The sequence below is a fragment of the Homo sapiens genome, chromosome 4, assembly GCF_000001405.40.
Source record: "Homo sapiens chromosome 4, GRCh38.p14 Primary Assembly".
Classification (NCBI taxonomy): domain Eukaryota; kingdom Metazoa; phylum Chordata; class Mammalia; order Primates; family Hominidae; genus Homo; species Homo sapiens.
Window position 1 is genome coordinate 143881386 of NC_000004.12, and position 16858 is coordinate 143898243.

General features: G+C 38.5%; 1 protein-coding gene and 1 long non-coding RNA gene across 3 annotated transcripts in view; one reads left to right on the forward strand and one right to left on the reverse strand.

Annotated features, from left to right (window-relative positions):
* LOC105377459 (uncharacterized) overlaps window positions 1–16858 on the forward strand; it is a 125977-nt gene that overhangs the window by 37985 nt on the left and 71134 nt on the right. The window lies entirely within an intron of this gene.
* Window positions 1–16858, reverse strand: part of GYPE (glycophorin E (MNS blood group)) — a 34696-nt gene that overhangs the window by 10522 nt on the left and 7316 nt on the right. The gene's annotated exons all lie outside the window — the stretch shown is intronic.

Here is a 16858-nt window from a genome sequence, read left to right on the forward strand (position 1 = left end):
ATAGATTCAATAAAGAAAATTTGGGAACTACAAGAAAGCACAAAGAATAATATAAAATTCATCTACAGTCAGCCTATGCAAGGTTGAACATTTGACACATTTTGATATATAGCCATCTGAACTTTTAGTTGTTATATCTAAATATGGGATCATGGTGTTTAAATATATATGAATATGTATATAATGTTTACAAGTCTGACTTTCTACTTAATATGCCACAGATATCCCTATGCTGTCAAATATTCTTCTATGAGAAGATTTTTATGACTGCAAAGTATTCCATTATATGAATGTTCTGTGGTTTATTTTTCAATCTTCTATTCTGTGCATTCATGTGTTTTTCACTCTTCTGAGAGTTATAAATCATTATGATAAACGTCAGTACCCTGAACTCTGTAGATGTACCTTTGCTCATCTCTTTGAGATATTCAAATGAGGGGAATGGCACCCAAGTGCAATGGAGTGGAGGTGGAAGGGCTTCTCCTCAGAGGCAGCCAACTTGGCCCCTCAGCTGAATGCTCAAAGTTTCCTGGAGAGCACACAAACAACAGAAAACATCTTCTCTGACACCTCTCATTAGTCTACTCAAGGAAAGAGTTCTAAAACCTTTCTCTATTTATCAGCTGATAGGTAATCAGTTTACCTCCAAATCATGGAGAAGACATGATCTATTGTTCCTAAACTGTCTATGTTTTCTCTTCTCTTTTAAGTTCTTTTCTGGCCTTGCTCTTTAACTTGGCCTGCCACCTGATTCCATCATGTGTGTATAAACGATTGCCATATGAATTCACTAAATAGCATGCAAAACAATTACTGAATGTTTCTAAGTTGTTCAGCATTCAGGTATAATGGCTTTTAAGATAATATAAAAACCAATGCTTTTAAACAATAACCTTGTGATAGGGATTTTGAAGTTCAACAAATATTAAAATTACAGAAAGAAACATCTTTATGAGTCAATTAAAGTATGTAAAAATTATTTACAAAGATAACTAATGAACAAAAATAATCCATCTCTCTTAATAAATGTTAGATATGAGCTTCGGCTTATTTGTAGATAATGGAATATGGACCATCTATTGTATTTTTGAAAAGGCATACAACCTGAGTAAAATAGGTTTAGCTATGAAAGTGTTATGAAAATAGCTAATAAAATAACAAGCCAAAAAAAATCAAAAGTGTTAATGGCCAGAAGCCTTAAATGGGCATGTAACAATAAACTTGAGATCAGCCTTTGGCTCAGCTACATGGGAATACAACTGGAAAAGGCAGCTGGAGCTCTCATCCTTCACTCAGGTGTGCTTGTCACTTCCATTTCTAACTTTCATCCTCTCCATGCTTCTCCTTTTAATCCTCCACTCCTTCTTTACACCTTTCAGTTCAGTGTAATCCACTTACATTTAGGGTGCACATTTCTTATCCCTGTGGATACAAAATGGGCTCTTCTGAAACATAAAACTTGTTCCTAAGACTTCCATATCCCATTATTTTGAATTTTCTCAGCATGAGAATAGTGCTTTATTCATAAAAGATGTTAAATGAAATGTTAATTGTTATAAATGCTTGGACAAATTCTTATGGAGAAAGAATTAGGTGAGTGGTATGGTTTGGATCTGTGTCATCATCCAAATCTCATGTGGAAATGTAATCCCCAATGTTGGAGGTGGAGCCTGGTGGGAGGTAATTGAATCATGGGGCTGGTTTCTCATGGCTTAACATCATCCCCCTTGATGCTGTCGTGGACATAGTAATTTCTCATAAGATCTGGTTGTTTAAAAGTGTGTGGCACCTCCCCACTCTCTCTTGCTCCTGCTCCAAGGCTCTCTCTCCCGACTCTCTCTCTTGCTCTTGTTCCAGGCATGTAAGACGTGCCTACTTTCCCTTCGTCTTTTGCCATGATTGTTTCCTGAGGCCTCCCCAGAAGCAGAAGCACTATGCTTCTTGTATAGCCTGCAGAACCATGAGGCAATTAAACCTCTTTTCTTTATAAATTACCCAGTCTCAGTTATTTCTATATAGCAGTGTGAGAAGAAATGGGTTTTCAGATTGCATCTGAATGGGAACATAATAATTTAAATAATAAATTTAATTTATAATTAATAATAACATGTAATTAATTATAAATTAATTTATAATTAATAATAACATGTAATTAATTATAAATTAATTTATAATTATTAATAACATGTAATTAATTATGAATTAATAATTAATAATAACATGTAATTAATTATAAATTTATAATTAATAATAACATGTAATTAATTATAAATTAATTTATAATTAATAAATTTAATTAATAAAATTGTTTAATAAATTAAACCAAATGACAAAATAGCACATGCAGAATGAATGCAAGCATCTGGAAAAATAAGCATCATTTTAAGACCAATGAAATATTTTCAACATTTCAATAGCAAGCATACTTTTGCTAACATAAGAAAAAAAAACAAAAAGTAAAAAATAAAAATACACAAAACATAGTCTGTAAATGCCATCTAGTAGTTTTGACTGAGTACAAATATACATATTCCTCCAAGTTTCCTAACTGTTCAGCAGGATGTTAGGGACTACCTGAGTCAGAATTCCAGGGGTTCAGGTAGAGAGGTGTTTTCAGTCTATGGGAGGGTGCTGCAATTTTCTTTGTGAACACCTGCAAGACTCTGCATGGTCCAGTCCTGCTTGCCTCACATCTTCATTGCTTCGCCCTTCCCTTCCCTCTTGGGGCTCCAGCCATTCTGCACATCTGTTTTCTCTATGACTGCACCATACCCTTTTCCGTGTCCTAAATCTTGTGCCATCTCCTCCCTTTGTCTGAAATATTTCCCTCCCTATCTTTGCCTAACTACTGGCTTTTCAAGTCTCAGTTCAATGCCACTTCCTTTGGAGGTCTTTGCTGGCCTCTCTAATAAGATTTAGACTAAAAGCTCTCTGAAGTCCCTGGTGCTTAACATGGTGTTGTAAAACCTTATGATTATTTAGAATCCAGATATGCATTCCTTAGGCCTTGATGTTTACTGGGGGCCTTGGGTGTTTCTTAATTTGTTCAATTATTTACAAAAGGTTTTTTTTGGGGTGGGAGGTATAGGCTGTGGGCTATGTACTAGGAAGACAATGATAAATAATACATGGCCTTTCCTTTCAGGGTAATTCCAGTGCAGTAAGAGCGACAATTATTAATCTAAGTATAATAAGTATTTTAGGATGGTGGTGGAAGTGGGGACACAAAGGAGACAGCGGTCAACTCTACTTGGAGAGGTAGAAAGACCTCATGGAGGTGTCTTTGAATTTATCTTGAAAGAAGTCTAGGATTTTACCAGGCAGGCTGTGTGGTACCAGCAATGCCTTGGAATTTGAGACATCATTGCACGTTACAAAAACTGCAAGTTATCTATGTGGCTGCAGCACAAGGTGTGAGAAGGAGAGGAATACAGAAATGGGTGAACAGCAAATGAGAGGTTGAAGAGGTGGTGAGGCACCAAATGCTGTGGGCCATGTTCTAGAATTTGGACTTTATCTTTAAGGCAGTGGAAAGAGAATGAATGGTTTGAAGCAGTTTTTTATTTAGGGAAAATCACTGTCAGTAGTATGGAGGATAACTTAGGGGAAAAAAAAACATGCCAGAGCTTTGCAGTAGAGGGTCCCATCTTGTGTTCAAGAGTGGCCAAGATAAGCAGTCCCTTTGCAAACAAGCCACTTCTGCTCACAGAAGGTCCTTATCACTTCTTAACATTCCTTTGGTGGAGAAGCCCTATAGCCTGAGGCTTTAAAGGGGGCAGAAAATTACAGCAGATTGTCAAAAGAATATGGCAAAGAACCAATAATGGGAGCTAACATCTCTTAAAATTGGCACTTTAATTATTTTAATTTTAAATGAAGTCAGAGGAGGTGAAAAGTATTTTAAATTTTTAAGCAAAGTATATGTAACTGTTTTATAAAAATGAAAACATGCTTAGGGAGAGAGAGCTTATTTAGATAAGTTTTGAGCTTTATCAAAACAATTTTAACACTCTAGCAAATAGGTAGACTTCTTTCTTCTTCAACAGTTTCTTTCTTCTTCAACAGCTACTGCTCACAGTAAAAGAGCACTTGGTGGAAATTTTGTTCTGAAGTGAAGGCTGAAACCCCAGAGATCAAACACTGTACTCAAGTATACAAAGCTGGACTCAGACCCTAACACTGGCTTTAAAATTTGTCCTAACTTAGACCATAATGCCTCTCTTTCCAGCTGGATCTACATGCCTCCACTCTGGCTTTTAACAAGGCTCTGAACTATTGTCAGAACTTGGGAATTTCTAACATTGAAGGTAACACATTGACACAATTTCCTCGATGTAAAATTGTATACACTTTATCCAAGTCCCATCTGAGCATGTTATGTCCTATTTGTACCCTTACAAAAACTGATTGGTGGCCAAATTGATTTGAGACTGAAAGTTGCCACTTATGTTCTTAGAAATACTTGCTTTAATTCACCAGAATCAGTTGCTCTGATACAACTTCTTATAGTCACCTAAGTCAACATAGTAAGAAAATAAACATATAAATTCCCTAAAGATAATTTGATAAAAATTGTTTTTTATATCATTTCCTCAACAATCTCATAATGGTAGCTGACCTATAAAATGACCTTTTTCATAGTTCATTTTTCTTCCATTTCTGGAAAAAAGATAGCATAAGTCTTTCAGTAGGAATTAATACCCATGCATGCTTAGTGGTAAGAAGAAGGCACAGAGGCTTGTTACTGGAAGTCTATAGTTTACAAAACAGTGTCATCTTGAAGGAACAATAGCTCCCATAAAAATGAGTTTTCATATTTTCTTGTATTAATTAACTTTTAAATAATTTCGTAGTTATTCCAGAGTAGAATCACATGGGGGCAATTTAAAGAATTTCATCAATACCTTCAAATTAAATAAACCAGCATCTGGTTGAAAAAAAAAAATCACTTACCTGGAAGGAGAAACCAAAGAAACATCCTCAAATTCTAAAGCTTCATTCAAAATTCAAGGTAAGGAAACCAAATTTCCACAATATGATCCCTTAAAATCACCAAGAATGTTCAAAACTACATTTGATAACAACAGCTCACACAACTACTTGGCTCTCCTAGATTCCTAAGACCCTAACCAGCTAATAGACGTCTGTGGACATATTCAATTCTGCAAAGCTGCAAAATATCTGTGAGAAGATGGTTTTTGAATAGGACTTTTTACTATAGCTATATACTATTTAGTTCAGTAAACTGGGTAGAAAGCATTGAAGCAAACTCGTAACCATTGAACAACAAACTTTAGTTTGCCAAAACTGCTTAGGGACTGGATTAAGGGAAGGCTCTCCTGTTATTTTTATCTCTTTGCCTTTGGTGCTCTCAGCTTTCTGTAGCTAAAGTAGCTTTCAAAAATCTACTTGTGTCATTCCTAGATTAAAGGTCAGTTTAAGTATTGTCCTGTTGAATTCAGAAGGTACATTTAAGCTAGAAAACCACTTGCAGCACATCTAATCCAAATTGCCGACTTTACAGATAGACATTTGGTCTCATAAAAATTAAATGACTAGCTCAGATCAGCATATCTGGTAAGCAGCAGAACTGAGACTTAATTCTGCTGGCCCTCAATATTAGTCTCACCTTCCGGATCTCGCTGACTGGTTGAGATCTTGTCAGCAAGATTTCTCTAATGTTTTAGTACATTAGTCAGCAAGCATTGGGGCATATTGTACATACAAAAAAGGACAGCTAAATTCCTGAGCTCCCTGGACATCCTAAAAGCTAGAATTTTAGTAAAAACCATGTAGTCTTCATTTTGATGATTTTTCCACACTAATTTATTGTATTACTTAGATTATATCTCTTACCCCTCAGTGTCCTTATACTATAGCCACTATGAGAAATTATGTTTTGCTCTAGCAATACGGAGATGAGAGTCAGTTTCTTAATCCCTTCACATCTTCTGGCAGGAACACATCCAGTCTATACCTGCAAAATTTCACCTCTCTCTACAAGTGAAGTATATTTACCTTGTGGTGTTATGAAAGATGTGTCCAGCATCTGGCTACCCAGGAATAGACAGACCTTGTGCCAACACTGCACATTTTCTTAGCTGCATGGGCCTCTGAGAAACATACTCTGAAGACCTTACCCCATGCCTACTTGCAAATGAATCACTGGATGAACCCTGAAGGATGGGCAGAGTTTTAGGTGAAGATGCAGAGGAGGAGGGATAAAGAAATAGCATGGGCCTAACATATGGAGAAAGGGGAGTATAACATGCATTGATGTGGAGGCTTAGGGCACCTAGCAGGCAAGTGTTGGCAAATCTCTCAGATTGATAAGAGTTTAATGATTAAGTGGCAAATTAGTGCAAAATAAAATATAAAGGTATGTTTTGTCATATTAGTGAGGCCTCAAACTCCTACTTTAAATTTATGTTTTTCAGTTTTCAGGCACTGAAATGGCATTTGCTATGGTACTTAGTACAAAGTAAATCTGTGTGACCTGAATTGAATTCTGTAATTTAGGTTTGAGAAGGGTGGAATGAATTGGTATACTTTCTAGAAAATGAAATATTCAATATTTGCGTTTGGATCATCTCACAGCTTATACTTGTATAACATCGGATATGTTCCAGAACATTTCACCTCTCTTGTCTCTTATCCCCATGTGTTGGGGGAGAGAGCGTGGACTTCTGCCACAGTTCCCATTGTACCATGGAGGTGGGGTGACTTGGGGGCCCAAGACATGTTAGGATAACGACTGGAAATAGCCAGCCTCCTAGCTCTCTGCTGCATGCTTTATCTACCAGACCACTCAGCTTTCCCAAATAATTGACATTTCTAACCTGGAATGCTATTAGAAACAATAAAAATAAAGTGTGATATTGTATAAGTACGCTTCAGTTTCGCTGTATGCCAAAACTTCCAGTGGCTGAGCTCTTGTCAAGATGTGATAAAGTCAGCTCATGCAGCTGCTGCTTTGAGTTTTGGTTCGCTCCTGACTTGCAGCTGAAAGAAGCCTTATCTTGCATAAGCAAACTCTTACAAGGACACACCCTTCATATGAAATGCCTTAAATAGTTTCCAAGTCTGAAAACTAAATTTTCTAAATGCTACAGTTTTTTGGCATTGCAATGACCATGAAAACTACTTGATAAATGCATCTGTGGAAGTTATGCTCAGCTAATTTGTGGTAAAACTGGGACAAAAACTCATATCCATTGACTTCCAACTCAATGCCTTTTCTGCCCAATCTCATTGTCTTGGACAGAATTAACGTATAAATGGGAATCTTGCCTGTGCTAAAAGATGTTTGAAGAAGACTGTTCCCATGAAGCAATATTTTAAGGGAACGATTTTGTTTGGCTCTTGAACCAAAGGATTGGCACGTTCAATCTTGGTCAAGTTGTGATAATATAGTTAGATACCCATACTGTCTGTGGCCATTCATTTTTCTTTTTTGGAAGGTTTTTATTAAGCCAAAGCAGCCAACTACAATTTAGAAAAATTGAACTTAAGGATAAAGTGCTTTGTGTGATAGCATCTGAGCCTACTGTTTTGGATAGCCTATTCTCAATACTTTTTATTTGAACTCTTCAGCCAATGGCTCTGGAGAAAAGCGTGGCCTATTAACTGGTGCAGTTAGTGTGCTAGGTGCCAAATGGAATGAGCCAGTTTCTGCTCATCTTCAGAATGGCGTGCTTTGGCAGTCCCCATACAACTAATTGGTAACACTTCTTCCTTTCCTAACTTGGTAGAGAAGGGTGCTGTATTTATTCTATCTCGAAGGTGTTGTGGCCTAGGAGGACTGCAGCTTCCCTTCAGGAAGCCTGAACTTTTTAGCCTCGCTCTGTACTATCCAGCTTCTGGTCATCCACACTGTCCCAAACCATTGCTGAGACAGCAGAGGTGGAGAAAAAAATTGGTCACTCTGTCATTCCAGCCAGTGCACATTCTTCAGCCTGGACAGATGGAAATCAAGATGAATTTCTGTCCACTGTCCCAGTGGGAAAGGAGAGCAGAGTTCTATTCCTGGCTTTGCCACCAAATGGTTGGGGGATCTGTGAAAGTCTCTGAAATTATCTGAGCCTCAGTTTTCTGGCCTCTAAGATGAGAGTAGTGGAACAGATGTCTCTCTTTTTAAACTTTAAAAAAAGTTTTGCTTTTTTCTTGAGATAGGGTCTCACCATATTGCCCATACTAGCCTCAAACTCCTAGGCTCAAGCAATTCTCCTGCCTCATTCTACTGAGCAACTGGGACTATAGGTGCGCACCGCCATGCCTGGCCTGGAATGGATGTCTTCTAAGATGCTTCACCATTCATGAATCATGGAAATCTGTATGTCTAAGATAATAATATTTGTAGTTAACACTTACTGCACACTTACTTCATTCCACACATCTCTCTAACCATTTTTAAAACAACTAGCTGAGACCCTATTGTTATATATTAATTATTCTTTGTGGAGGAGGAAAAAAAAACATCAGAAACATTGCCCGACTTGCTTAAGTTCACACAGCAGCCAAGTGGCAGAGCTGGATTTTGAATTCAGACCTGTGTAACTACAGAACTGTCTGCCAAGGTCTACTGTGATCTATGTAGCAGAAAGAGAATGAGAGAATCAAGTAAGTTGTCATTGAGAGATTAAATTCTCACCAAATTATAATGCAACCAATTCTCAAGCAAGCCTTCACTTCAGCAAATCAGGGCTAAATGAAGAGATATAAAGATGATAATTCACCTTGTTTATAGCCTGAGGGTAGGAGTGTTGTACCTCTAACATAGCATTGTAGGGTGACCTGCAGTGGCAAATCCACATTACGGAAGAACAGATGGTTCTGGTTATTAACAGTTTGTTAACTTGAATCTTAATTTTTCCAGCCAAGCATATTCCAATCTGGTCACTCCTGCCTACTAAAGAATCCTCAGAACAAAAGAGGATTTCACATATTTTACCTGTGTCCGCTTTAGTCTAAGGTTTGGTATTTCTGTAGCTGAACTTCACACACATTAAATTTGGGCTTAAGGAAGTTGGGCTGAATGAAAATAATTTCAATTGAAAACAAAAACTTTATCCCAAAGTTCTCACACCACTGGTACTTCCTTTCTCTGGTTGAACAATACAAAATTGCAGAAATGAAACTAGTTTGTTCTCATCCTTGACTGCATGGTAGAATCATCTGTGATATCCAGGCATTGGATTCTGATGTGCGGCCAGCGGCGAAAACAACTGCTCCAGTTGGTAATATAGATTAATATATGTAAACTTCATCTTCCTGAGTTTCAAGGTCCATTCTTACATTGTCTATGGTTCTAGTGTCACCTTTATCTATAAAGTGAACAGCTACAGTATGGGATATTAGCCTGAACGACTTTAGAAATAACATCATTTGCCATCTTAAATGTTGGTGTTTCTTAGGGTTTTGTTTTAGAGCCACAGTCTCCCTCACTTCCTCCCTCAATTCGCATTTAATTTTACTTTAATCACTTTCCAAGGATAAGCTCATCAGTGTGTGAAACAGACAGAGTTGAACTGCTTGGTGGAAGTTGGCCTGAGTGTTTGGCCTGCAGCCTCACAACCTGTTCCCATCTCTACCTGGCAGCTTCAGAAAGCTCCACAGGAATTTAGATTGGAAATCTTTAGTCTAAAACTTAAGTTTTTCAAATTGTCTGTTGAGAGCCCTTAGTACAAGTATTAGTAAACTTCTTATGTAAAGGGAGAGGGAGTAACTACTTTAGGATTTGTGGGCCATAACTACTTTAGGCTTTGTGGACCATCTACTACAAATATTCAACTCTGTCACTGTGCAAAAGCAGCTACAGACAATATGTAAACCAAAGCATAAATAAACGAGTATGACTATGTTCCAGTAATGATTTGTGGGCAGTAGAATTTGAATTTCGTATAATATCCACATGTTATTATTATTATTTTGATTTTTTTTGTTTCTTTTTTTTTTTTTTTTTGAGACAGAGGCTTGCTCTGTCGCCCAAGCTGGAGTGCAGTGGCCTGATCTCGGCTGACTGCAAGCTCCGCCTCCCGGGTTCACTCCATTCTCCTGCCTCAGCCTCCCAAGTAGCTGGGACTACAGGTGCCCGCCACCAAGCCTGACTAATTTTTTGTATTTTTAGTAGAGATGGGGTTTCACTGTGTTAGCCAGGACGATCTTGATCTCCTGACCTCATGATCCACCCGCCTCAGCTTCCCAAAGTGAGGGGATTACAAGCTTGAACCACTGCACCTGGCCTATTTTGATTTTTTTAAGTACTTAAAAAAGTAAAAATCATTTGTAACTTGTAAGGTATACAAAACTAGGGTGCCGGCCGTTCACAGGCTATAGTTTGCTTGGCCCCTGTATTAGCATAACTAGAATCTTTGGATGTGAAACCCAATCAACAGTGCTACAGAGATTCTCTGAGAAAATTCAAACCTGCAGTCAAGATGGTGCATTCCTCTAGTAATGGGCTATGAAATCAGTCCAGTGGGTTGTCACTGGCACTAAAAATTTAAGTTCCTCCTTGTACCTCTGGTAGAATTCGGCTGTGAATCCATCTGGTCCTGGACTCTTTTTGGTTGGTAAGCTATTGATTATTGCCACAATTTCAGAGCCTGTTATTGGTCCATTCAGAGATTCAACTTCTTCCTGGTTTAGTCTTGGGAGAGTGTATGTGTCAAGGAATCTATCCATTTCTTCTAGATTTTCTAGTTTATTTGCGTAGAGGTGTTTGTAGTATTGTCTGATGGTAGTTTGTATTTCTGTGGGATCGGTGGTGATATCCCCTTTATCATTTTTATTGCATCTATTTGATTCTTCTCTCTTTTTTTCTTTATTAGTCTTGCTAGCGGTCTATCAATTTTGTTGATCTTTTCAAAAAACCAGCTCCTGGGTTCATTAATTTTTTGAAGGGTTTTTTGTGTCTCTATTTCCTTCAGTTCTGCTCTGATTTTAGTTATTTCTTGCCTTCTGCTAGCTTTTGAATGTGTTTGCTCTTGCTTTTCTAGTTCTTTTAATTGTGATGTTAGGGTGTCAATTTTGGATCTTTCCTGCTTTCTCTTGTGGGCATTTAGTGCTATAAATTTCCCTCTACACACAGCTTTGAATGTGTCCCAGAGATTCTGGTATGTTGTGTCTTTGTTCTCATTGGTTTCAAAGAACATCTTTATTTCTGCCTTCATTTCGTTATGTACCCAGTAGTCATTCAGGAGCAGGTTGTTCAGTTTCCATGTAGTTGAGCGGTTTTGAGTGAGTCTCTTAATCCTGAGTTCTAGTTTGATTGCACTGTGGTCTGAGAGACAGTTTGTTATAATTTCTGTTCTTTTACATTTGCTGAGGAGAGCTTTACTTCCAACTATGTGGTCAGTTTTGGAATAGGTGTGGTGTGGTGCTGAAAAAAGTGTATATTCTGTTGATTTGGGGTGGAGAGTTCTGTAGATGTCTATTAGGTCCACTTGGTGCAGAGCTGAGTTCAATTCCTGGGTATCCTTGTTAACTTTCTGTCTCATTGATCTGTCTAATGTTGACAGTGGGGTGTTAAAGTCTCCCACTATTATTGTGTGGGAGTCTAAGTCTCTTTGTAGGTCACTCAGGACTTGCTTTATGAATCTGGGTGCTCCTGTATTGGGTGCATATATATTTAGGATAGTTAGCTCTTCTTGTTGAATTGATCCCTTTACCATTATGTAATGGCCTTCTTTGTCTCTTTTGATCTTTGTTGGTTTAAAGTCTGTTTTATCAGAGACTAGGATTTCAACCCCTGCCTTTTTTTGTTTTCCATTTGCTTGGTAGATCTTCCTCCATCCTTTTATTTTGAGCCTATGTGTGTCTCTGCACATGAGATGGGTTTCCTGAATACAGCACACTGGTGGGTCTTGACTCTTTATCCAATTTGCCAGTCTGTGTCTTTTAATTGGAGCATTTAGTCCATTTACATTTAAAGTTAATATTGTTATGTGTGAATTTGATCCTGTCATTATGATGTTAGCTGGTGATTTTGCTCATTAGTTGATGCAGTTTCTTCCTAATCTCGATGGTCCTTACATTTTGGCATGATTTTGCAGCGGCTGTTACCGGATGTGCCTTTCCATGTTTAGTGCTTCCTTCAGGAGCTCTTTTAGGGCAGGCCTGGTGGTGACAAAATCTCTCAGCATTTGCTTGTCTGTAAAGTATTTTATATCTCCTTCACTTATGAAGCTTAGTTTGGCTGTATATGAAATTCTGGATTGAAAATTCTTTTCTTTAAGAATGTTGAATATTGGCCCCCGCTCTCTTCTGGCTTGTAGAGTTTCTGCCGAGAGATCTGCTCTTAGTCTCATGGGCTTCCCTTTGTGGGTAACCCGACCTGTCTCTCTGGCTGCCCTTAGCATTTTTTCCTTCATTTCAACTTTGGTGAATCTGACAATTACGTGTCTTGGAGTTGCTTTTCTCGAGGAGTATCTTTGTGGCGTTCTCTGTATTTCCTGAATCTGAATGTTGGCCTGCCTTGCTAGACTGGGGAAGTTCTCCTGGATAATATCCTGCAGAGTGTTTTCCAACTTGTTTCCATTCTCCCCATCACTTTCAGGTACACCAATAAGATGCAGATTTGGTCTTTTCACATATCCCATATTTCTTGGAGGCTTTGTTCATTTCTTTTTATTCTTTTTTCTCTAAACTTCCCTTCTCGCTTCATTTCATTCATTTCATCTTCCATCACTGATACCCTTTCTTCCAGTTGATCACATTGGCTCCTGAGGCTTCTGCATTATTCACGTAGTTCTCGAGGCTTGGCTTTCAACTCCATCAGCTCCTTTAAGCACTTCTCTGTATTGGTTATTCTAGTTATACATTCGTCTAAACTTTTTTCAAAGTTTTCAACTTCTGTGCCTTTGGTTTGAATTTCCTCCTGTAGCTTGGAGTAGTTTGATCGTCTGAAGCCTTCTTCTCTCAATTCGTCAAAGTCATTATCCGTCCAGCTTTGTTCCGTTGCTCGAGAGGAACTGTGTTCCTTTGGAGGAGGAGAGGTGCTCTGCTTTTTAGAGTTTCCAGTTTTTCTGCTCTGTTTTTTCCCCATCTTTGTGGTTTTATCTACTTTTGGTCTTTGATGATGGTGATGTACAGATGGGTTTTTGGTGTGGATGTCCTTTCTATTTGTTAGTTTTCCTTCTAACACATAGGACCCTCAGCTGCAGGTCTGTCGGAGTTTGCTAGAGGTCCACTCCAGAGGAACTGGTACCATTCCTTCTGAAACTATTCCAATCAATAGAAAAAGAGGGAATCCTCCCTAACTCATTTTATGAGGCCAGCATCATCCTGGTACCAGAGCCGGGCAGAGACACAACCAAAAAAGAGAATTTTAGACCAATATCCTTGATGAACATTGATGCAAAAATCCTCAATAAAATCCTGGCAAACCGAATCCAGCAGCACATCAAAAAGCTTATCCACCATGATCAAGTGGGCTTCATCCCTGGGATGCAAGGCTGGTTCAATATACGCAAATCAATAAATGTAATCCAGCATATAAACAGAACCAAAGACAAAAACCACATGATTATCTCAATAGATGCAGAAAAGGCCTTTGACAAAATTCAACAACTCTTTCATGCTAAAAACTCTCCATAAATTAGGTATTGATGGGATGTATCTCAAAATAATAACAGCAATCTATGACAAACCCACAGCCAATATCATACTGAATGGGCAAAAACTGGAAGCATTCCCTTTGAAAACTGGCACAAGACAGGGATGCCCTCTCTCACCACTCCTATTCAACATAGTATTGGAAGTTCTGGCCAGGGCAATTAGGCAGGAGAACGAAATAAAGGGTATTCAATTAGGAAAAGAGGAAGTCAAATTGTCCCTGTTCACAGACGACATGATTGTATATCTAGAAAACCCCATTGTCTTGGCCCAAAATCTCCTTAAGCTGATAAGCAACTTCAGCAAAGTCTCAGGATAGAAAATCAAGGTACAAAAATCACAAGCATTCTTATACAACAATAACAGACAAACAGAGAGCCAAATCATGAGTGAAATCCCATTCACAATTGCTTCAAAGAGAATCAAATACCTAGGAATCCAACTTACAAGGGATGTTAAGGACCTCTTCAAGGAGAACTACAAACCACTGCTCAATGAAATAAAAGAGGATACAAACAAATGGAAGAACATTCCATGCTCATGGGTAGGAAGAATCAATATCGTGAAAATGGCCATACTGCCCAAGGAAATTTATAGATTCAATGCCATCCCCATCAAGCTACCAATGACTTTCTTCACAGAATTTGAAAAAACTACTTTAAAGTTCATATGGAACCAAAAAAGAGCCCGCATTGCCAAGTCAATCCTAAGCCAAAAGAACAAAGCTGGAGGCATCACGCTACCTGGCTTCAAACTATACTACAAGGCTACAGTAACCAAAACAGCATGGTACTGGTACCAAAACAGAGATATAGATCAATGGAACAGAACAGAGCCCTCAGAAATAACGCCGCACATCTACAACTCTCTGATCTTTGACAAACCTGAGAAAAACAAGCAATGGGGAAAGGATTCCCTATTTAATAAATGGTGCTGGGAAAACTGGCTAGCCATATGTAGAAAGCTGAAACTGGATCCCTTCCTTACACTTTATACAAAAATTAATTCAAGATGGATTAAAGACTTAAACGTTAGACCTAAAACCATAAAAACCCTAGAAGAAAACCTAGGCATTACCATTCAGGACATAGGAATGGGCAAGGACTTCATGTCTAAAACACCAAAAGCAATGGCAACAGAAGCCAAAATTGACAAATGGGATCTAATTAAACTAAAGAGCTTCTGCACAGCAAAAGAAACTACCATCAGAGTGAACAGGCAACCTACAGAATGGGAGAACATTTTTGCAACCTACTCATCTGACAAAGGGCTAATATCCAGAATCTACAATGAACTCAAACAAATTTACAAGAAAAAAACAAACAACCCCATCAAAAAGTGGGCAAAGGATATGAACAGATACTTCTCAAAAGAAGACATTTATGCAGCCAAAAGACACATGAAAAAATGCTCATCATCACTGGCCATCAGAGAAATGCAAATCAAAACCACAATGAGATACCATCTCACACCAGTTAGAATGGCAATCATTAAAAGTCAGGAAACAACAGGTGCTGGAGAGGATGTGGAGAAATAGGAACACTTTTACATTGTTGGTGGGACTGTAAACTAGTTCAACCATTGTGGAAGTCAGTGTGGCGATTCCTCAGGGATCTACAACTAGAAATACCATTTGACCCAGCCATCCCATTACTGGGTATATACCCAAAGGACTATAAATCATGCTGCTATAAAGACACATGCACATGTATGTTTATTGCGGCACTATTCACAATAGCAGAGACTTGGAACCAACCCAAATGTCCAACAATGATAGACTGGATTAAGAAAATGTGGCACATATACACCATGGAATAATATGCGGCCATAAAAAAGGATGAGTTCATGTCCTTTGTAGGGACATGGATGAAACTGGAAATCATCATTCTCAGCAAACTATCGCAAGGACAAAAAACCAAACACCGCATGTTCTCACTCATAGATGGGAACTGAACAATGAGAACACATGGACACAGGAAGGGGAACATCACACTCTGGGGACTGTTGTGGGGTGGGGGCAGGGGGGAGGGATAGCATTAAGAGATATACCTAATGCTAAATGACGAGTTAATGGGTGCAGCACACCAGCATGGCACATGTATACATATGTAACTAACCGGCACATTGTGCACATGTACCCTAAAGCTTACAGTATAATAATAATAAAAAAAATTAAGTTGTATTCTAGGTGTGGTGGGTCGTGCCTGTAACCCCAGTGCTTTGGGAGGCCAAGGCAGGAGGATTGCTTGAGGCCAGGAGCTCGAGACCACCCTGGGCAACATAAGAAGACCCCGTATTTACAAATTAAATAACAAAAAAATTAGTCAGGTGTGGTTGAGCACACCTGAAGTCTCAGCTACTTGAGAGGCAGAAGCTGGAGAATCACTTGAATCCAGCAGTTCAAGACTGAAGTAAGTTATGACTGTGCCGTTGCAGTCCAGCTTAGGCCACAGAGCAAAATCTTGTCTCTAAAAAAAATTAAGTTGTATAAAATAGGAGAGAATATATCAAAGTACATCACACAGAATAAGGGAAGGTATTATTTTGTGGAATTTTATTTCAGACAAGTGTGTGTGTGAGTCTGTGTGCTGTGAGTTGTAGTGCACATTAACAGTGTCTCAATAATACTTGATTATGTTTTGAGCCTGATGAACCTGGTTATACCCTATGTGAATACCTGGCTGCCAGATCAATAGCATATGAAATACCTGAAATGCACTCACGGCCTGCACAAGCCATTGACCAGTGGCTCATGCACACCTTTATCCAGCTTATCTAGCTCCAGAAAGTCTAAGACTTTATATGTGTGCTGAACCACTAAAATGGGAATTCTGAGAGAGAATGCTTTCAAAAACATAAAGTTAGCTAATGGGACAATTTCAAGTAGGCTATATACTTTAGAAACACATGAAAGGATAAGTGCAAATAAAACATAGTATATATATCAAAAGAGCAGAAACAAGGAATCATAAAATATGAAATAGGATAACAGAAATAAGATGCTAAATGTCAGTTGTGAATTAATGAATTCATATGGATTATGGTTTTGTATTAAAAGACAGAAACTTTTAGATTGAGTCAAAAGAGATAGGTTACAACTGGTGCAATGGCTCATGCCTGTAATCCCAACACTTTGGGAGGCCGAGGCAGGTGGATTGCCTGAGCTCAGGAGTTGGAGACCAGCCTGGGCAACACTGTGAAACCCCGTCTCTACTAAAATACAAAAAATTAACTGGGCGTGGTG